The sequence below is a fragment of the Homo sapiens genome, chromosome 5 (genome assembly GCF_000001405.40).
Source record: "Homo sapiens chromosome 5, GRCh38.p14 Primary Assembly".
Taxonomy (NCBI): domain Eukaryota; kingdom Metazoa; phylum Chordata; class Mammalia; order Primates; family Hominidae; genus Homo; species Homo sapiens.
The window spans coordinates 134211207-134231516 of record NC_000005.10 but is presented as its reverse complement, the minus strand read 5'-3'; the positions used below and the strand labels follow the sequence as shown (position 1 = coordinate 134231516).

Genomic DNA, 20310 nt, shown 5'->3' with positions numbered 1-20310 from the left:
CAAGTTAGCAAAAAGAAGAAACTAAAAAATAATCCTACTCACTGGAAGTAACCACTATTAATACTTCACTGTGTGGCTTTCTAAAGTTTCTTATAAACATATATTTACAATATATGTTAATGAAATTGGGGTTATATCATGCATACTGTTTTATAAGGTTTTGTTTTTGTTTTTCTTTTTTTTTTTTGAGACGGAGTGTCACTCTGTCACCCAGGCTGGAGTGCAGTGGTGTGATCTCGGCTCACTGCAACCTCTGCCTGCTGGGTTCAAGCAATTCTCCTGCTTCAGCCTCCTGAGTAGCTTGGACCACAGGTACGCGCCACCATGCCTGGCTAATTTTTTGTATTTTTGGTAGTGACAGGGTTTCACCATGCTGGCCAGGCTGGTCTCGAACTCCTGACCTCGTGATCTTCCTGCCTCAGCCTCCCAAAGTGCTGGGATTACAGACGTGAGCCACTGCGCCTGGCCTTTATAAGGTATTTTTAACACTTAATATGTTATGAATAATATTCTATATCAAACATACTTGTATGATAGGATTTTTCATAGCTACAGAGTTGGTGACAGTATTAAGGTTTTCCCAGCCTTCTGGAGTGATGAACTTTGCCTTCCATTTCAGAGTTTTTTTTTCCTGTAATGGAAAAATGTCTCCTTTTGTAACTGAGAATACTATCCAGACATCAGGGGCATCACCAGGGGACATGGTCATTTCTCTCTTTTTTCTTTAGCCGGACTGTAGAAGCTGGAGGAAAAGGCAGTATATCTGTGGCAAAGTTCCTGGCCACAAAATTTTGGCTACATTTATAAAATTCTAATTCCAGGTGAAAGGGGAATATAAACTTAATTTTTCTGAAAACTACAAAGAACAGAGACAGATACCAATGAGCTGCAGGCATCATTGTGTAAGCTGAGTGCAGAAATCGTCTGGTAGCTGGGCAGGCGTCGTTGGCCAGAGCATGGCAGGCTTTCCATGGCCAAAGCCACTAAGATTTTGACTGCTCAGGACTTCATTTTGGGGCTTCTGGGGCATAAAAGGCCTTGGTACAAAGAGCATGTTATCCTTTTCAACTATGGCACCCTTTTCAGATGTAAGATTCTGAGCTGACAGGAGCATGGGACCGATTGTATTAATTCTTGGATTTAGTCCTAAGTAACTTTTTCTCTATATAACAAGTCTAAATGGATGGCAAGGCAAGAGAGGAGTTGTTCTGTTTATTCCATCTCTACCTCTCCTTGAATTTCCTCCTTCATCCCCACTTCATCCAATGGCTTTGTGTTTACATGATGTTTTTATTTTATTTATTTATTTATTTTGAGACAGAGTCTCACTCTGTCACCCAGGCTGAAGTGCAGTGACGTGATCTCAGCTCACTGCAACCTCTGCCTCCCAGGTTCAAGCAATTCTCCTGCCTCAGCCTCCCGAGTAGCTGGGATTACAGGCACCCACCAGGACGCCTGGCTAATTTTTGTATTTTTAGTAGAGACGGGGTTTCACCATGTTGGCCAGGCTAGTCTCGAACTCCTGACCTTCAGTAATCCACCCGCCTCAGCCTCCCAAAGTGCTGGGATTACAGGCCACTGTGCCCGGCCTACATATTTTTGATACCTCTATTTCTGTTTCCTAACACCACTATGTATTTCACTGCAGATATGAAGGACTCCAACTGGCATTAGAGGTTATGTATTTAAAATCCAAGCCCACTTAGAAATTATAATAATAAATAACAACATCTAGCACTTATTATACATTAATTAATACTATTTTGGTGTTATTTATTTATTTATTTTTGAGACAGAGTCCTGCTCTTTTGCCCAGGCTGGAGTGCAGTGGCGCGATCTTGGCTCACTGCAGCCTCTGCCTCCCGGGTTCAAGCTATTCTCTTGTCTCAGTCTCCTGAGTAACTGGGATTACAGGCACACACCACCACACCTGGCTAATTTTTTTGTAGTTTTAGTAGAGATGGTGGTTTGCCAGGTTGGCCAGGCTGGTCTCGAACTCCTGACCTCAGGTGATCCACCTGCCTCAGCCTTCCAAAGTGCTGGGATTACAGAAGTGAGCCACTGCGCCCAGCCTGGTTTTATTTATTTATAATTTCATTTAATTCTCAGAATAACCTTATTATTTTTCTATTATAATTATTCCCACTTTATAGATGAGAAAACCAAGACTCAGAAAAGTTAGGTAACTTGCCAAAGTTCACACATCTAGGCGGTTGCAGAACCAGAATTCAAACCCAGTTCCATCTGACTCCAGAGTCGTTTCTGACACTGGTCTACTTTCTGTCTCAGTAAGTTTAGAAGTCAGGGAACTGGAAGGAACAACAACAAAAAAATAAACCTAACTTAATGCCAAGAGAATTGCTGACAAGATATATCTCATTCCTACTCCATGTTTAATGTCAATTTTTGTATCTTGGGTAGGGTGCCTATTATAAAGCTATTTGCTCAAGGTTATCCTCCTCCTACCCCGCCCCCATCATCAGATGATTTTTATTTATAGCTATGTTTAAACATCATGGGCAACACTCAGACTTGCTGTATATTGAATTTGCCATCAGAGCAAAGATTCTTTCTCAAAGCATATTTGCTTTATTTACTCTCTGGTGTTTCCCAATAAATTAAAAAGACAATTCTTTTTGGTTTGCTTTAAATTTTTTGTTCCAAATATTCTTCAGCTCTAGAATTGAGTCAGTGAGGTCAAATTAGTCAAGACCAGATAAGTCAAAATGAATTTTCATTTTCATGTCCATTAGATATTTTGTTCTACAGAATACACAATCTGAATTTCTTCTAAAGAAAAATATATCCTGATTAATTTACTTCTGTATTGTTTATGATCATGTATGCTTTACTTCACTGTCTGATGCTAAGAGCTTCCTAGAATTCATTCCTTAAGAAGTTAAGTCATGGCATTTAATTATTTGGCAGGATGTTTTAAGTACATATAATTATTATATCTTCCCTCCATTTTGTGATGGTGGTGAGCCAAGTAATCTGCATCAAGAGAAAATAAATAACACCTACATTAATGCTACCAACAAGGGGCTCACAGTACTTTGGAAAAACTCATAATTTTAGCACACAGTGGGTGTTCAATACTTCATCATCTATCAAACTAACATCACCACACCCTTTCCAGGTAAGAGAATCTAGGCAGGCTGGGTGCGGTGGCTCACACCTGTAATCCCAGCACTTTGGGAGGCTGAAGCAGGCGGATCACCTGAGGTCAGGAGTTTGAGACCAGCCTGGCCAACGTGGCGAAATCCGTCTCTACTAAAAATATAAAAATTACCCGGGCATGGTGGCGGGTGCCTGTAATCCCAGCTACTTGGGAGGCTGAGGCAGGAGATTTGCTTGAACCTGGGAGGCAGAGTTTGCAGTGAACCGAGATTGCACCACTGCACTCCAGCCTGTGCAACAGAGTGAGACTCTGGCTCAAAAAAAAAAAAAAAAAAAAAAAAAAAAGAGAGAGAATCTAGGCAAAGAGAAATAATGTTGATTCTGTTCCATATGTCAGACCTTGGAAGGTCAACTGCATGACTGTGGCTGAGACTTTGTACTTGGGAGTGTGCAGTTTTAAATCCTGACCACTATCTTAGGCAAGTCCCTTCTCTTTTCTGAGTGCCTGTCTGCTTCTTGCCCCATCAGACAGTTCTCACACAGGTTCATGGCAACGGTAAAGAATAAGATTAGACAGCACACTGGGTATGGCTTTATAATCACGGGCACTAAGTGATGATTTTTTCCTTATTCATTCCACTTGGTCTTAACTCTTACCCTTCTATTGTTTGGGGATGTTAACTGCAAAACAGGGACAGAATTTGGGCTAAAGGGTCTTTTTCCCAGTCTGGTAAATTAAGTATGTGATAAGACTTCTAGAAGAGTAGATTTAAGGTACTTTCTTTTGTGCACACTAATGGGAGGTGTGAAGGGAAAGCAGAATTGCAATTTCCAGCCTAGGGAGGCCAAGCCAGTCGGCCTTGCCAAACACGTTGTCTTGGATAAAGGAGGATTTTCAGTCCTGCTATTGGCTGATGGGGCCTCCAGTGCCTTCTTCAGCCTGTTGGTGGGGATGATGCCCTCAGAGCCGCAGAGTGAGCAGTCTCCTCCCAAGCATCGCTGAGCACTTGGGTGTGGAAGGGTTGCCTGATACTGAGGGTGGGGTTCCTGGAAGACAGGCGATCAGGTTCAGCTCTTGCCTTGCCCTTTATGGTTAAATGTTCTTTGGAAAGCTTCTATATCTTTCAAATCCTGGGGGCATTATGATCTCTCTTCTGCCTATCCCAAACCATCTTCAGCCAGTACTGTTGGGAGAATACAAGCTCCAGGGCATGGTCCCTGGTCCGTCTGGATGACCCCTCCGGATCTGGCATATAGCTGGCGCTCTATGGAACCAGATATTTATGTAAAAGCAGGGACAATGGAATGTGAAAACGTTTCGCAAACTCCAAAGCGATTCATAACCAGACAGAGGTCCAATCCTAGGGTATACGAGCTCTCTCTTTTAAGCACGTATCACAGCTGCTTCTCACGCCACCGAGACGCGGTCAGGACAGGTGCATCCATCTTCTCTGGGCTTCCCCTCTTGAAAGTAGGCCAGGGCGCGCAGGGGTTGAGGGTCTCTCATTCCCAGAGAGAATTAAACTTGGAGGAAAGCAACCACCGGCGAGGAGCGGGGCGCGTGGAAGCGAGCCGCGGTCCGAGGCCCAAAGAAAAGCCCAAGCCTCGCCCCCGCCATCGCGCCCGACGAGACACCTAGGTCCGGGGACGGGTGTGTGCCGCGGAAGTCAGGTGCACTGCGCAGCACTCCCCCGGTAGGTACACGCTCCTCCACCTACGAGTGACCTAATTACAAGGTGCCAGCCGCGCCCAGAGGTGGGGGTGGTTAATCCAAGCGGCCACTCGCTGCCCGTTCCTGCCCCCAAAGATGACGGAAACCCACACGATTACAGAGCCGCAGCACCCCAGATGAGCCACGGGGTCGCAATTCTCGTTTCCGTGATCGGACTGCCAGGCCCCAGGTGAGGAGCTGAGTTCATCACCAGAGCGGCCTTCCCAGGGGAACCAGTTACAGGCTGCCAGTGGCCCCGGCTTCCATCCGGTCTGCGCCTGCGCGCGGCCCAAGCCCTCGCCTCTCCTGGAATAGTGCTCAGGGATTAGTCCGGTTCGCCGCTGTGCGCACTGCGCATGCTCCAGCTCCATCCTTCCCTTCCCCCACCACCCCGCCCTCCGGGAGCCACGCCCAAAAAGTCAAGGCGCTTCAGTTACCAGCCGGCTACGTCGCGCCTGCGCTTTGACCCCCAGTTTGCGCCCCAACTCCGGTCGTGCGGCCGCCCGGGGAGGGCTCTGCAGTTGCGCAGCTTGCTCCCCGGCCCTTTTCCCCTCCGCTCCCCGCCGCCTCCTGACGCCGGGCGTGACGTCACCACGCCCGGCGGCCGCCATTACAGAGAGCCGAGCTCTGGAGCCTCAGCGAGCGGAGGAGGAGGCGCAGCGGCCGACGGCCGAGTACTGCGGTGAGAGCCAGCGGGCCAGCGCCAGCCTCAACAGCCGCCAGAAGTACACGAGGAACCGGCGGCGGCGTGTGCGTGTAGGCCCGTGTGCGGGCGGCGGCGCGGGAGCAGCGCGGAGCGGCAGCCGGCTGGGGCGGGTGGCATCATGGACGAGAAGGTGTTCACCAAGGAGCTGGACCAGTGGATCGAGCAGCTGAACGAGTGCAAGCAGCTGTCCGAGTCCCAGGTCAAGAGCCTCTGCGAGAAGGTGAGCTGTAGTACGGCTGCGGACAGCCGCCGCGGGGCCGAGCCCGCCGAGGAAAAGGCGGCCGTGAGGAGGGTGCAACATGGCGGAGGCCGCCGGTCCGGGCCCCCCGAGTCTCCGAGACCGGCGCCCATCCTGGCCGGCGGCGGCTTCCTAACGACCCGGCGCCCCCTGCCTCCCGCGCAGGGATTGGTTGCCGCCGCCGCCTAAAATGGCGCCGTTCACTCGACTCCTGGGCTTTTGAGTCAGCCGGCCTTGGCGCCAGACGAGGTGGCAGGGGGAGCGGAGACCCTGTGGGTCATCGTCAGGGACGGTTTTGAGGGTGAGCTGGCTTGGATTCTGCGGCTTGGGAATGGAGCCTGGGCCTCTCCGGTGGGCTGAGTAAGAGTCTTGCCGCTGGTACCCAGGCCTAGTTAGGTCCAGAGCTGCCCAGAGGATCCCCCAAAGGCAGTCTTGTTAGGCCGTATCCCAGAACATACCTAAAGGTCACACAGCTTTAGTACCCCTTGGTGGTTTGTATTAAACTCACCAAGCGATCTTCTCCAGAAATCAAGGTAAGGGGTGTCTTTAAGAATTTTTAAATTATTCTCTTAACCTAATTTTTACGAAGGTCATGGTGGTAGCTATAAGGGAGGAGTGTAACTTATTTTTCATAGTTGGAAGAAATCGGGAATTTGGTGAGTCATACTACATAAGGAGCTTTTGGATTGGAAATCAAGTGTCGGTTGAATATGATTTATATGCTGACTCAAAGCCTTCTCTAAGCTTAACACACTTGGCATTTTGCCGTTTATTTTTAAAATGAACAACATAAAATGGAAGAGCGGTAAATTTTGTATCTTTGTTGCAAAAATTACTTGATAGTATTTTGTGGCTGCAAGTAGTAGTAGTGATAATAACTGTCGACTGAGATTGTATTCCAGACATTGTGCTTAGTGTTTAAATAATGTCTCACATACACTGAAAATAGAATGTTGTAGTCCACTTAGTAACACTAAACTTTATATTAGCTAATTCCCTTTTGTTTTCCCCTGGGGGTTGGGGAAACAGGTAGTTAATTTAGCTATTAGCTTTGTGTTGTATTTTTAAATTCTTGTAACTCAGTTTTCTAAAGTACACAAAATGCTGATCTCTGCTGTGAACATTTTAACTTCCCTTTTCAAAATTAACTTTGCAGCACGTCACTTTAGTACAGAATAGTGGAGTATCATATTAGCATTTTGTATCCGTGAAAAGAATTAATGGAGAACTATTATCCTGATTTGTTTCTGGTTTGATGTGAAAATTAGGTTCATGAGTTTGACGTATATGTTTCCAAGACAGGCTTTTTTAGAAACCATGTTGTGAACAATTGGAATTTAAGTAAGTCAGATTTAGATTTGTTTCTCCCAAGCCTGAACAAAACTACTACTAGTGGATGAGGTGGCACATCATCTGTTGGAGATGCCTTTTAATGGTAGCGATGTATTGAATCTCCTGTTTCTTTACCCTCTCACGTCAAATGAGGTTGGTATTTATTTTAAAGGTTTAAAATTGGCCTTTAAAAATGAATGTATATTGCCAGGTCTTAATTTCTAGGTACTGTACATGATGATCTTACCGATTTTTGGAATTCAGTGCATTATATGAAAGACTTTTAAGTCAGTAGTTGGCCAGTTGACTAGTCTTTTGAAGAAAACGTGGAAAGGAGGGAGGTAATGACGTAACTGGAAGACTGGACTGCGAGTTAGATTTGGACATGAGTCCTTCTGCTCTTACTTGAGTAATTGTGACAGACTTTGGGACAGCCACTTCACTTGTCCTTGTTTTCCTGTCTATAAACTAAAATGTGTTCTGAGATTATACAGTCAATTCCGTTTTAAATTAGTAGTGTGTTTAATATTGAACATCTATTGAATATCTAAGATTGCATACTCTTTTGAGGGAAATGAAAAGCAATGAAGAATAAGTATGCTTATTGTCGAGGAGCTATGAATCTAGTTTGAAAGAAAAGCATGGTATGAAAAGGTGTGGGAGATGGAGCATGGAAGTAGAGGGTTTGTGTTGGAAACTGTTGTAGAAGATAAGATAATACTGGATGCTAGAGTGGGGTGGGTGAAGCTGATGCATCTAATATTGCTTTCCACATCTTTGTAAAACTAAGATGTAGTGAGGTAAATCTCCATTGCTTGCGCTGCTTACGCAAATTTTAGTTCTGAGTGCCAAAAAAGATGGAAATAATATTTGAGAGTAGGTGTTATATAAAAGTTTCTGTGGAATGGATCCGTTTTGGTGGATATCATTATACAACCTTCATACTGTTTATAACTGGTAAGTAAGTATTTCAACTTTCAGGATGATATTAAACTTCCAAACTAAATTAATTTGAAGACAGTTTTTTGGGTATGTAGAATCCATGAACTGATGTTTTTTGTACAAGTCTTTCTAGTAAAACAAAAGCTGTCTTTCACTGTTAATATTTGTGTGCCAATGGCATCTCTGGGTGAAAGCTACATATGTGCTTTTTGGTGTGATTGCCTTCTAAAGAGTAATTTTGAAAATTTGAGGGCTAATTTTTTTCATTAGTGTATAATAATAGTATTTTTTGAGAAAAAAGATACTTGTTAATAGTTGATAATTTCTTCAATCATAAGAAGGAATGATAATGTAAAAGCCTTCCTTCTACCCACCTAAATGCCTGATTTGAAGGGGAAATATTTAAATAGTAAAAATAGATGTATACCATAAGAGGTCATTGTTACTAAAAAATCCTGAGGCCATTATTTTGTTAACCCATCAACAATTAACAGTGTTACATGTTCAGAACTGAGAGAATCTAAGTATGCATTTATAAAAGACAAGAGTGAACATGGTTTTTATGTTACTGACTAGCTAAAAAGAATTTTAAGATGTGATTAAGACTTATACAAAAGCCAAGGTTGTTAGTGTATAGTATACTTTGTCATCTTGAGAATCATAATTTGTTGATAGTTTAATAATTTGGTGTGCAGCTTTGCCTCAGGCTCAGTTCTATAATCAGCATTACATCAGTATAACTGGCCGGGTATGTTTCAATCTACAGATTGAAAGGAGTAAATAGTATCAACTTGCTTTTGCATTGACTACAGTAAACAATCTTTTATTATGTGACTTCAGCTTTGTTTTAGCTTGGGTATGATTTCTTGGCTTTGTGCTTACCAAACATGTGGAGAACGTTGTTTGATAGCCAGATTTTTTTTTTTCAAAGAAGTTCTTTACCTAGGTATGCTGTTTTCCATTGCTTTGCAAGCACTATAAATAAAGTGCAGTCATTAGTCATTAAAATGTTAGTTTTAACATTTGTTACGTGAGTATGGAAAAAACAAACTGCTTCCTTCTAATTAGATGAGCTGAAAAATATTTGACCAAGATGACATTCTTATATGAATTGGGTAATATGTTGCTGTGAGTATGTGTGTACGTTTCATTTTAAAGGGTGTTTGGCTCATTTCTCTAGAAGTGATTTGAATATTGAGGACAAGCAGGTGGGGGAAGCATGTTACAGAACATTATTTTTATCATACTTTTATAAGATATTGTTCTCAGTTACAGATGCAACTCAAAGACTCAGAAAGGTAAAGTGACTTGACTAAAGGGGCTAAAAGTGAGATTGCCAAGGCTTGTGGATTCTAAGCCTAATGTTCTGGTATTGCTTCACAGATCCCCTTCTGTTTTCAGAGGTAGTGTTAGTAGTGAAAGATGTAGGTAAATTGGGGCCAAGCTAAATTGGGAAGTCAACACTTTCATAAAATAAAACTTTTTTTTTTTTTTTTTTTTGAGATAAGGTCTTACTCTTTTGCCCAGTCTGGAGTGCAGTGGCGCAATCTCGGCTCACTGCAACCTCCACCTCCCAGGTTCAAGCAGTTCTCCTGCATCAGTCTCCCTAGTAGCTGGGATTACAGGTACCCACCACCATGCCCAGCTGTTTTGTATTTTTAGTAGAGATGGGATTTCACCATGTTGGCCAGGCTAGTCTCGAACTCCTGACCTTCAGTGATCCACCCACCTCAGCCTCCCAAAGTGCTGGGATTACAGGCTTGAGCCAGCGCGCCTGGCCAAGACATTATTTTTATTTTCATTGCTTGAAAGCTTCCTATTCATGTTACATACTGTTGTTCCTCTTTGTCTTGGAAAGAGTAATTATTATTCAGTTTTGGATGTAGCTGACAACATTTGCCCCTCAAATGAGATTGGTGAGATGAAAACCCTAGATAATTTCCCTTGTATTCTTAGTATAAATCATGATCCAGAGACTGAGCTCTAAAGTATTCTAATAAAGTATAACTGACTTTTTATATTGTTTATTGCAACTTATAAAATGCCTCTTTTCAGCAGGGCAAGGTGGCTCACACGCCTGTAATCCTAGCACTTTGGAAGGCCACGGCAGGCGGATCACGAGGTCAGGAGACCAAGACCAATCCTGGCTAACACGGTGAAGCCCCGTCTCTACTTAAAAATACAAAAAATTAGCCGGGCGTGGTGGCACACACCTGTAGTCTCAGCTACTGGGGAGGCTGAGACAGGAGAATTGCTTGAACCTGGGAGGCGGAGGTTGCAGTGAACCAAGATTGTGCCACTGCACTCCAGCCTGGGCGACAGAGGGAGACCCCATTCCCCCCGGCCCCAAAAAAGCCTCTTTTCATCCTCTTGGCTTCCACAGTCAAATGTCATGCATGTGTGTATTTGTTTCATGGTCTCCTAGGCAGGAAGCTGTAATGCAGTTAGTTTGGAGTTGACTTCATGAGGAAACAGAAAAGGTGAACATTCCCACTATTCAGAAACACAGGTTCCCCAACCCTCCCTACGTTCTCCACTGGGACCAGAATTGTATGTTTTCAGAAAATTGGCTGTAAGGCTAAGTTGAAGCTCATGTACTGTAGAAAGAATGAAGGACCCTTCAGGAGTATGTGGGATAACATTTGTATTACCAGTCTGGTGTGGCCCTGTTTTATGGCAGCAAATATGTTCCCTATCTCATGGTAAGTCAGGTTTGTCAGAGTTACCTGTGAGATAGCCTTTGCTTAGTTTGGAAGGGGTAAGTTAGGAAAACTAAGAGACTGGGTTTGGTGGGGTCTTTTATCAGGGTACTGAGGAGAGAGGCAAAGCTATATGTAACAGGGAGACACTATTTATTCTTTCTGCTTTGACCCATTTCTCTTACTTCATTATCATCCTTGCCTGAGAAAGCTGTCAACCTCCACTCATACACAGGCAGATCTGAATTGGATGAGAACCATGAAGGAGGAAGATTTTTGTTTTTGTGGGCTTTTTTTTTTTTTTTTTTTTTTGAGATAGAGTCTCACAGTCGCCCAGGCTGGAGTGCAGTGGTGTGATCTCGGCTCACTGCACCCTCTGCCTCCCAAGTTCAAGCAGTTCTCCTGCCTCAGCCTCCCAAATAGTTGGGATTATAGGTGTGTGCCACCACACCCAGCTAATTTTTGTATTTTTAGTAGAGACAGGGTTTCACCATGTTGGCCAGGCTGGTCTTGAACTCCTTACGTCAAGTGATCCACCCATCTCAGCCTCCCAAAGTGCTAGGATTACAGGCATGAGCCACTGGCACCAGACCTGTTTTTGTTTTAAATAGATTTTCTTTTGGCTTCTGGGGCAGAAGTGGTAGACCAGGCTGAAGAAGGGAGAGGTGTCTATTGTCAGTAAATGGCTGAGAGGTGGGGTTTGAAAGAATGGTAAAGAACAACCTGAGATTAACTGCTTTTTTTTTTTTTTTTTTTTTGATACGGAGCCTCGCTCTGTTGCCCAGGCCAGAGTACAGTTGCATGATCTCGGCTCACTGCAACCTTTGTCTCCCACGTTCAAGTGTTTCTCCTGCCTCAGCCTCCTGAGTAGCTGGGATTACAGGCATGTGCCACCATGCCTAGCTAATTTTTTTATTTTTAGTAGAGACAGGGTTTCATCATGTTGGCCAGGCTGGTCTTGAACTGCTGACCTCAAGTGATCCGCCCGCCTCAGCCTCCCAAAGTGCTGGGATTACAGGTGTGAGCCACTGTGCCCAGCTAACTGCTTAACTTCTTCACATTGCAGTATTATTGCCTGTTTATTGGTCTGTTGTGGATTGTGGTTTAGAATGGATGAACAAGGCAGTGACACAGATGCGTGTATATCTGAATCTGGGTATTTTTTAAACTAAATGTGACCAGTTGGCCAGTCCCTCTTGCACCCTGTGTTGCCACTTCTGCCTTAGTTTAGTCATTTAGTTGCTACTACAGATGGGGATTTTTACCCTGCTGGTGTTGAGGCTGGAAGGTTGCAAACCTTTGTCCTAGATGGGGACGAGGAGTAGAATGGGAGACAAGCAGTAGCATGTGTTTACCTGGCCAAAGGCCTGCAAAATGTAGTTCACAGAGGTTATGGAGTGTCATTGATGCTATCGTGTGACAGTGTACATTTGATTTTGGAACCAGTATTTAATAAACCTTCATTGTATGCATTATTGTCACTATTGAGCTTTGTCTAAAAAGCACTACCTTATTCTCGTGTATAAGGATTTCTTAGTTTGGTTTTGCTCTAATTAATAGCACAGTTTTGGATTAGTCAGGAGATTGACTTTATAGTTAATTCTAGATAGGGAATGTTTTAGAATGCTTGTGCCGGTGGTGATCAAGTAACTTATTTTTCTGCCACTAATCTGTAAATGAGCAATAATGCCCACTATCTATTTCTTTTGGCTGGCTTTACTTAATAAAATAGGCTTAAGACATGCTTTAGGATGGGGTAGAATTCTAGTAATGGAATCAACCTTAAAGACCATCTAGGCTGGCGGGGCACAGTGGCTCACGCCTGGAATCCCAGCACTTTGGGAGGCTGAGGTGGGTGGATCACGAGGTCAGGAGATGGAGCCCATCCTGGCTAGCACGGTGAAACCCCGTCTCTACTAAAAATACAAAAAATTTAGCCAGGCATGGTGGTGGGCGCCTGTAGTCCCAGCTGCTCGGGAGGCTGAGGCAGGAGAATTGCTTGAACCCAGCAGGCAGAGGTTGCAGTGAGCCGAGATCGTGCCCCTGCACTCCAGCCTAAGCGACAGCAAGACTCCATCTTAAAAGAAAAAAAAAAAAAAGAAAGAAACAACCATCTAGACTAATTCATCTTACACAGATGAGGGAGGAAACTGAGACCCAGAGTGGTTGAATCTTGTTCATGATGTATTATTGTGACAATTTTTTAATAAGTAGATATATAGCAGCATTTCTCAGTTGTGTAGTAGATTAAAACTTCTTTTTCTATGCAGGAATGATTGGGAGTGTTTAATTCATTCACATATGTAGGTTAGTTGGTAAAGGTTGAGTTTAGTCTATTGTGCATATGAGACATAGGGCTTTAAGGATCTTTCCTTTTGGTCAGAGGCAAAGGTGATATTGCAGAAACAGATGGGAAAACTCACAAATTTTATATTTTCTTTTATTACACTTTTAGAATTATCCCTCATTCCCAACATTTTTCTTTTATTTAGGTCCTAAGCCTTAGAGCCAAACAGAAAATACTAGTTACTAGAATATTACCTGGAGGGTTAAACTTTTAAAATATAACCATACTGATTTTAATCAAAGAAGATTGAAATGTTTCGTGAAATATTAGTGGTATCTGTTCAGTGTAGTTAATGAAAGACAAGTAGTCATGCACCACATAATGACATTTTGGTCAGTGGTGGACTGCATGTGATGGTGGTCTTATGAAATTATAATGGAGCTGAAAAATTCCTATCACCTGGTGACCTTGTAATGTCATAGTGTAACACTTTATATTGTTTATGTTTAGTTATACAAATACTTAACATTATGTTAACAGTTGCCTACAGCATTCAGTACAGTAAATGCTGTACAAGTTTGTAGCCTAGGAGCAATAGGCTATCCAATAGCTTAGGTTTGTAGTAGTCTATACTATCTAGATTTGTGTAAGACCACTCTGTGATGTTCACACAACAACTAAATAATTTGATGTATCCCTGCGATTAAGCAACACATGATTAGTATGAAGAATGGTTTGATAGTTGAAGGAAATTAACTCAAAACTCATTTGCTTCCAGGGCTAGTAATATGTTCTACATCATGTATCACCCCACGCCTCAAACTCTAGCCCTGTACACTAACTTATCACAAACCTTGGATTTTTTTGCACAATTATCAAAATGACATATCAAACCAACCGTACATCTTGACATAAAAACAGTATGAGACAAAATGAAATTCTCTTGGGATATTGAAAAAATTTTTTTTGCCTGTGAATTTAGTAATTTTACTTATTAAGAATTTTCAAATGATTTCAGTTCTTAAACTGAAAAATAAAATTCAAAAATTAATTGCATTTTTTCCAGTGTTTCTTCTATGTCTTTATATTGGTAGAACTGTCCAACTATATGGTAAGGATGTGAAATGTTAAATTTACTTGAACTAGAGTTACAATGAACATTAGAATTAATAATCAGACTTCTTTTTTTTTTCTTTTTTTGAGAAGGGAGTTTCGCTCTTGTTGCCCAGGCTGGAGTGCAGTGGCACGGTCTTGGCTCACCGCCACCTCCACCTTCCAGATTCAAGCAATTCTCCTGCCCCAGCCTCCCGGGTAGCTGGGATTACAGGCATGCGCCACCACACCCAGCTAATTTTTGTATTATTAGAGATGAGGTTTCTCTGTGTTGGTCAGGCTGGTCCTCAAACTCCCGATCTCAGGTGATCTGCCTGCCTTGGCCTCCCAAAGTGCTGGGATTACAGGCGTGAGCCACTTCGCCCGGCCAATAATCAGACTTTTAGTAGTAAAATTACTTTCAAAAATGGAGATTCCTTTGTCAAATAGTACTATTATTAGTACTAAGATTGTAAAGAGGTTATTTGTGTCTGATTTTGAGTTTGATGCTACAGAGAAGACAGGTTAGGCCTGCATTGACGTTTTTCATCAAGGGCAGAATTGATGATACAGAAACTTGATTTCTGTCTAGGCATGGTGGCTCATACCTACAATCCTGGTGCTTTGGGAGGCGGAGGCTGGAAGCTCACTCGAGACTAGGAGTTTGAGACCAGCTTGGGCAATGTAGTGAGACCACCGTTTCTACAAAACAAAAAACAGGTTTCTTTAGTTAAGTATAAATCATTGATCTGTGATTAATCCAAACACTTTTTCCTCAGTATAGACCTTGGGGTTCTTCGGTGTTTGACTACCTTCTTTTGAAGGAAACCACTTTTTTTTTTTTTTTTTTTTGAGGCAGTCTCACTCTGTTGCCCAGGCTGGAATGCAGTGGCACAATCTCAGCCCACTGCAACCTCCGCCTCATGGGTTCAAGTGATTCTCCAGCTTCAGCCTCCTGAGTAGCTGGCATTACAGGCATGCACCACCATGCCCAGCTAATTTTTGTATTTTTAGTAGGGGAGGGGGTGTTTCGCCATGTTGCCCAGGCTGTTCTCAAACTCCTGACCTCAAGCGATCCACCCACCCTGGCCTCCCGAAGTGCTGGGATTACAGGCATGATCCACCGTGCCCACCCGAAACCACTTGTAATATACCTTTAGGAGAATGCTTTTAGTTACATCATGATCCCTTTCATGTAGCTAACAACAAAAATGAATATTAACCCCAAATATTGGAACTCGTATTTTGAAGCAAGTTATTTCTTGGTATACTTTAGTGCCAGAATTGGTACTGTTATGTGATTAACTGTTTTTGAGACTAAGAAAATATTTTGCTGGACATCTGATGAAATTATCTTAAAAACAGTGCTTGGGTGTTTTCCCTGGAGTGTAGTGGCAAGAGTACTCTGTTGTCCATCAGAGCCACTTGCTGCTCTCAGCTGGCCTTGCTGTTGAATGGCATAATCTGATTTCGTTGGAGTACCCAAGTCCTAAGATTTGAAGAATAAGGGTTATTATCTCAGTCTCATCTTTTCTCTGAGATAGCATTTGTTCAGGAAATGTTATCTGTTTTCAATGGTGAAGGGAGTGAGAGTCTGCTTAGGAGTTACTGTATACATTAAACATTGGTGACCGGACTTTAAAGAATTAGAGGCTAGGCCTGGTGACTTACACCTATAATCCCAGCAGATTGGGAGGCCAGGGCAGGAGGATATCTTGAGCCCGGGAGTTCAAGACCAGCCTAGGCAGCATAGTGAGACCCTGTCTCTACAACAAAATTTTTACTTTTTTATTTTTATTTTTATTTTTATTTTTTGAGATGGAGTTTTGCTCTGTCACCCAGGCTGGAGTGCAGTGGCATGATCTTGGCTCACTGCAACCTCCACCTCCTGGGTTCAAGCGATTCTCCTGCCTCAGCCTCCTGAGTAGCTGGGACCACAGGCGAGGGCTACCATGCCCAGAATATTTTTGTATTTTTTTTTTGGTAGAGATGGGGTTTCACCACTTTGGCCAGGCTGGTCTTGAACTCCTGACCTCAAGTGATCCACCTGCCTCGGCCTCCCGAAGTGCTGGGATTACAGGCGTGAGCCACTGCACCCAGCCCTACGAATAATTTTTAAAAATAAATTAGTTGGGTGTGGTGGCACACCTGTGGTTCTAGCTACTCTGTGAGGCTGAGGCAAGAGGATTGCTTGGGTCCAGGAGATCTAGACTGCAATGAGCTGTGATCATGCTACAGCACTCGAAGCCTGGGGAACAGAGCAAGAACTTGTCTCAAAAAAAAAAAAAAAAAGTAAATAAATATTAGACACTTCTCAAGCCCTAGGTCCCAATTGATTGATTTTTTTTTTCTTGGATGCAGGATTCCAAAATACTTCAAGGTCATTATTAAACATTTAAAGTTAATGTCATAATGTTAACGATGCAAGTTTAAGATGCTGATATAAAAAGAAGCTTGAGTAGTTGTCGTGTAATCTTAGGATTAAAGTATAGATTTTAAAATGAAAAACTCTTAGAAAATGGCAAGACGTGATAACTTTTCTTAATAATTGTAGGAGAAAAATTACAAAGCAAAAATGGGCATAGAAAATTTCTGGCTATATATTTAAAAAATAAGAGAAACAAAATGCCAAAAAGTTACTTAAAATAACAGTTTAAAATAGTTTATACAAATACTTCAGAACATCATCTAGCTCTTAATGATCAGATGTTCAAAAATATTCATGGACAACTTGTATAAGAGGAGAAATAACTGATGGTAAATAAACATGGAATAAAAAGTTTGTACTCAGAAATGAAAAATGCCAATTAAATTAGTGATACCACATTGTATATCTGAAATAGCTGAGAATGAGTATATTCTTTCATTTATTATTGTATAACAAATTGGCATAATTGAGTTTTATAGTACATATGAAACAAAAAAAGTTAATGCTATTTTGCCCTGTAATCCCACAATTAAAGCTTTTTGAAAGGAAATAATTCAAATGAGCAATAATACTGTACACGTATAGGTCTATTTAGAAGGGCATTATGTAGTTTTAAAAAATCACTATAATGTAGAAACGAGTTAGTATGAAACTTTAGGACACAAAATGAGATGCCAGTCAATTATAAGTAAGAGGTCTGTGTGGGTAAAAACTGAAAGGTAATAGAAATGAGAAGAGTTCTGGTTGGTAAGAATAAGATAGTTATATATCTTAAAGCTTTCAGTGAAATCTTAACCTTTTAATTTTTTTTTTAGCCTTTTTTTGTTAGTTTTGAGAGAGAGTCTTACTGTGTTGCATAGGCTGGAGTGCAGTGGCACGATCTCAGCTCACTGCAACCTCTGCCTCCTGGGTTCCAATAATTCTCATGCCACAGCCTCCCAAGTAGCTGGGATTACAGGCCTGTGCCATCTTACCTGGCTGATTTTTGTATTTTTAGTAGAGATGGGGTTTTACCGTGTTGGCCAGGCTGGTCCCAAACTCTTGACCTAAAGTCATCCACCTGCTTTGGCTCCCAAAGTGATAGAATTACAGGCGTGAGCCACTGTGCCTGGGCTTTTCAGCCTTTTTTTAATGCAAAGAATTGTGACATGGTTGTAATCATTTTGTGCTTTTATTTATTTATTTTGAGATGGTGTTGTTGCCCAGGCTGAAGTACAGTGACATCATCATAGTTCACTGGAACCTTGAACTCCTGGGCTCAAGTGATTCTTCTGCCTTAGCCTCCTTAGCAGCTGGGACCACAGAGTGCACCACCATGCCTAGCTAATTTTTATTTTTCGTAGAGACAGGGTCTCGCCACATTGCCCAGGCTGATCTTGAACTCCTGAGCTCAAGCAATCCTCCTGCCACAGCCTTCCAAGTAGCTGGTACTACAGGTGTGTACCACTATGCCCAGCTAATATTTTAATTTTTTTGTAGAGATGGGGTTTTGGTGTGTTGCCCAGGCTGAGCAGTAATATTTTGAAAGGAATCTTTTTTTTTTTTCTGAGCAGTAGGTCTCAGTAATGCACTTAAAATATTCAGTATACCGTGCTGTAAGCAGATGTGCTGTCATCCAGGCTTTGTTGTTCCATTTCTAGAGCACAGGCGTAGTAGATTTAGCATAATTCTTAAGTGCTAAAGAATGGCTTAAATGCTTTCAGAATGTTGAATGAGCCTTGGCTTCAACTGAAAGTCACCAGCTACATTAGCCTCTAACAAGAGTCAGCCTGTCCGTTGAGGGTTTGAGGGCAGGCATTGACTTCTCTAGCTAGTAAAGTCCTAAGTGGCATCTTCTTCCACTAGAAGGCTATTTCGTCTACATTGAAAACCTGTTGTTTAGTGCAACCACCTTCATCACTTATCTTAGGTAGATCGTCTGGGAAACTTGTTGTAGTTTTTATATTGGTACTTGATGCCTTATCTTGCCCTTTTATGTTATGGAAATGGGTTCTTAAATCTCATGAACCAGTCTGCTAGCTTTAAGCTTAACTTCTGCAGCTTCCTCACCTCTATTAGCCTTTATAGAATTGAAGAATTAGGACCTACCTCTGAATTAGGCTTTGGCTTTTAAGCGAATGTTGTGGCTGATTTGATCTATCCAGACCACTAAAACTTTGTCCGTATCTGCAATAAGACTGTTTGGCTTACTTACTATTTGTGTGTTCACTGAAGTAGCATTTCTAATTTCCTTAAAGAACTTTTCCTTTGCATTTATACCTTAGCAGTTTGGTGCAAGAAGCCTACCTTTAGGCCTGTCTGGAGTTTCCATATGCCCTCTCCTAAGTTTAATAATTTCTAACTTTTCATTTAAAGTGAGAGATATGCAACTCTTCCTTTCACTTGAGCATTTGGAGGCCATTGTAGGGTTATTAATTGGCCTAATTTCAATATTGTGTCTCAGGGGATAGGGAGGCCCAAGGAGAGGGAGAGACAGAATGGCCAGTCAGCAGCAGTAAGAATATATACGACATTTATTAAGTTCATTGTCTTATGGGCACGGTTGGTAGTGCCCCACAGCAATTACAATAGTAACATCAAAGATCACTGATCACATATCACCATAACAGATACAATAGTAATGAAAAAGTTTGAAATAATTTTAGAAGTACCAAGATGTGACAAAGACAAGAAGTGAGCACATGCTGGTGGGAAAATGGTGCTGATAAACTTGCTCCACACAGGGTTGCCATGAAGCTTTGATTGATTAAAAAAATGCAACATATGCAAAGTGCAATAAAGAGAAGCACAGTAAAATGAGGCATGCCTGTAGTTATTGTGTGCTCTTAAGGAAATTACTATTTTTGAGATGGAGTCTCACTGTCACCCAGGCTGGAGTGCAGTGGTGCGGTCTCCGCTCACTGCAACCTCGCCTCCCAGGTTCAAGTGATTCTCCTACCTCAGCCTCCCAAGTAGCTGGGATTACAGGTGCCTGCCACCACGCCTGGCTAATTTTTTTGTATTTTTAGTACAGATGGGGTTTCACCATGTTGGCCAGGCTGGTTTCGAACTCCCGACCTCAAGTGATTCATCCGCCTTGGCATCCCATAGTGCTAGGATTACAGGCGTGAGCCACTGCACTCAGCCAAAAATAATAAGTGGTTAGTGAATCTGTTGTTGGTTCATGTACTTTTAAAAATTGTCTTCCACTGGGCGCAGTGGCTTATGCCTGTAATCCCAGCCTTTGGGAGGCCAAGGCGGGTGGATCACCTGAGGTCAGGAGTTTGAGACCAGCCTGGGCAAGATGGTGAAATCCTGTCTGTACTAAAAAAAAAAAAAAAATTAGCTGGGAGTGGTTTGCATCTGTAATCCCAGCTACTCAAGAGGCTGAGGCAGGAGAATCACTTGAACCTAGGAGGCGGAGGTTGCAGCGAACCGAGATCGCACCATTGCACTCCAGCCCGCGCAACAAGAGCGAAACTCTGTCTCAAAAAAAAAAAAAAAAATTGTCTTCCATGAAAAACAGCATGGATGATTTATGAGCTTTAGTTTAAGCCTGCTTTGTTTGTAATTTCATGTTACTACAGTGGTTATGATGGCCTGTATTCAAGAATGTTGAGTCTGTGGGTCATTTATCTTATAGCTGATTATTTTATAGTGGGTTGGAAATAAGGTTGTGGGATTTCTGAATCCAAACCAGAATGCTGAGAGGACATTGGTAATAAGATAGTGTCCTCAGTGGTGCATGCCTGCAGTCCCAGCTACTCGGGAGACTA

The 20310-nt window shown here is 42.5% G+C and overlaps 1 protein-coding gene, 1 long non-coding RNA gene and 1 other non-coding gene across 5 annotated transcripts in view, besides 8 other annotated features; 1 reads left to right on the top strand and 2 right to left on the bottom strand.

The window, feature by feature from the left end:
• PPP2CA-DT (PPP2CA divergent transcript) lies at nucleotides 2567-5107 on the bottom strand. The gene has a single exon (NR_186539.1). It is a non-coding gene; the product is annotated as a PPP2CA divergent transcript (long non-coding RNA).
• Nucleotides 4144-4663: an enhancer, noted in NCBI's record as "H3K27ac hESC enhancer chr5:133562545-133563064 (GRCh37/hg19 assembly coordinates)". NCBI's record gives its function as "activates a minimal SCP1, AML or CMV promoter by ChIP-STARR-seq in primed H9 embryonic stem cells {active_cell/tissue: H9 hESC(primed)}" and the evidence as "EXISTENCE:reporter gene assay evidence [ECO:0000049][PMID:30033119]".
• Nucleotides 4144-4664: a biological region, named in NCBI's record as "H3K27ac hESC enhancer GRCh37_chr5:133562545-133563064".
• Nucleotides 4505-4664: an enhancer, noted in NCBI's record as "active region_23140". NCBI's record gives its function as "activates an Ori minimal core promoter by ATAC-STARR-seq in GM12878 lymphoblastoid cells {active_cell/tissue: GM12878}" and the evidence as "EXISTENCE:reporter gene assay evidence [ECO:0000049][PMID:35858748]".
• Nucleotides 4664-5185: an enhancer, noted in NCBI's record as "H3K27ac hESC enhancer chr5:133562023-133562544 (GRCh37/hg19 assembly coordinates)". NCBI's record gives its function as "activates a minimal SCP1, AML or CMV promoter by ChIP-STARR-seq in primed H9 embryonic stem cells {active_cell/tissue: H9 hESC(primed)}" and the evidence as "EXISTENCE:reporter gene assay evidence [ECO:0000049][PMID:30033119]".
• Nucleotides 5186-5705: an enhancer, noted in NCBI's record as "NANOG-H3K27ac-H3K4me1 hESC enhancer chr5:133561503-133562022 (GRCh37/hg19 assembly coordinates)". NCBI's record gives its function as "activates a minimal SCP1, AML or CMV promoter by ChIP-STARR-seq in primed H9 embryonic stem cells {active_cell/tissue: H9 hESC(primed)}" and the evidence as "EXISTENCE:reporter gene assay evidence [ECO:0000049][PMID:30033119]".
• Nucleotides 5444-20310, top strand: part of PPP2CA (protein phosphatase 2 catalytic subunit alpha) — a 31742-nt gene continuing 16875 nt past the window's right edge. For 2 of the 3 annotated variants that reach the window (NR_149151.2, NM_001355019.2), the window contains exon 1: nucleotides 5963-6308. Coding sequence is in view for 1 of the 3 variants with exons in the window: in NM_002715.4 (NP_002706.1) it covers nucleotides 5656-5757 (102 nt within the window). In the remaining 2 variants the exon portion in view is untranslated. Of the gene's footprint in view, nucleotides 5758-5962; nucleotides 6309-20310 lie in introns of those variants that run through there. The other variant, NM_002715.4, reaches the window with a different exon arrangement.
• Nucleotides 5665-5760, bottom strand: MIR3661 (microRNA 3661). The gene has a single exon (NR_037434.1). It is a non-coding gene; the product is annotated as a microRNA 3661 (primary transcript).
• Nucleotides 6045-6154: an enhancer, noted in NCBI's record as "active region_23139". NCBI's record gives its function as "activates an Ori minimal core promoter by ATAC-STARR-seq in GM12878 lymphoblastoid cells {active_cell/tissue: GM12878}" and the evidence as "EXISTENCE:reporter gene assay evidence [ECO:0000049][PMID:35858748]".
• Nucleotides 11955-12014: an enhancer, noted in NCBI's record as "active region_23138". NCBI's record gives its function as "activates an Ori minimal core promoter by ATAC-STARR-seq in GM12878 lymphoblastoid cells {active_cell/tissue: GM12878}" and the evidence as "EXISTENCE:reporter gene assay evidence [ECO:0000049][PMID:35858748]".
• Nucleotides 12065-12124: an enhancer, noted in NCBI's record as "active region_23137". NCBI's record gives its function as "activates an Ori minimal core promoter by ATAC-STARR-seq in GM12878 lymphoblastoid cells {active_cell/tissue: GM12878}" and the evidence as "EXISTENCE:reporter gene assay evidence [ECO:0000049][PMID:35858748]".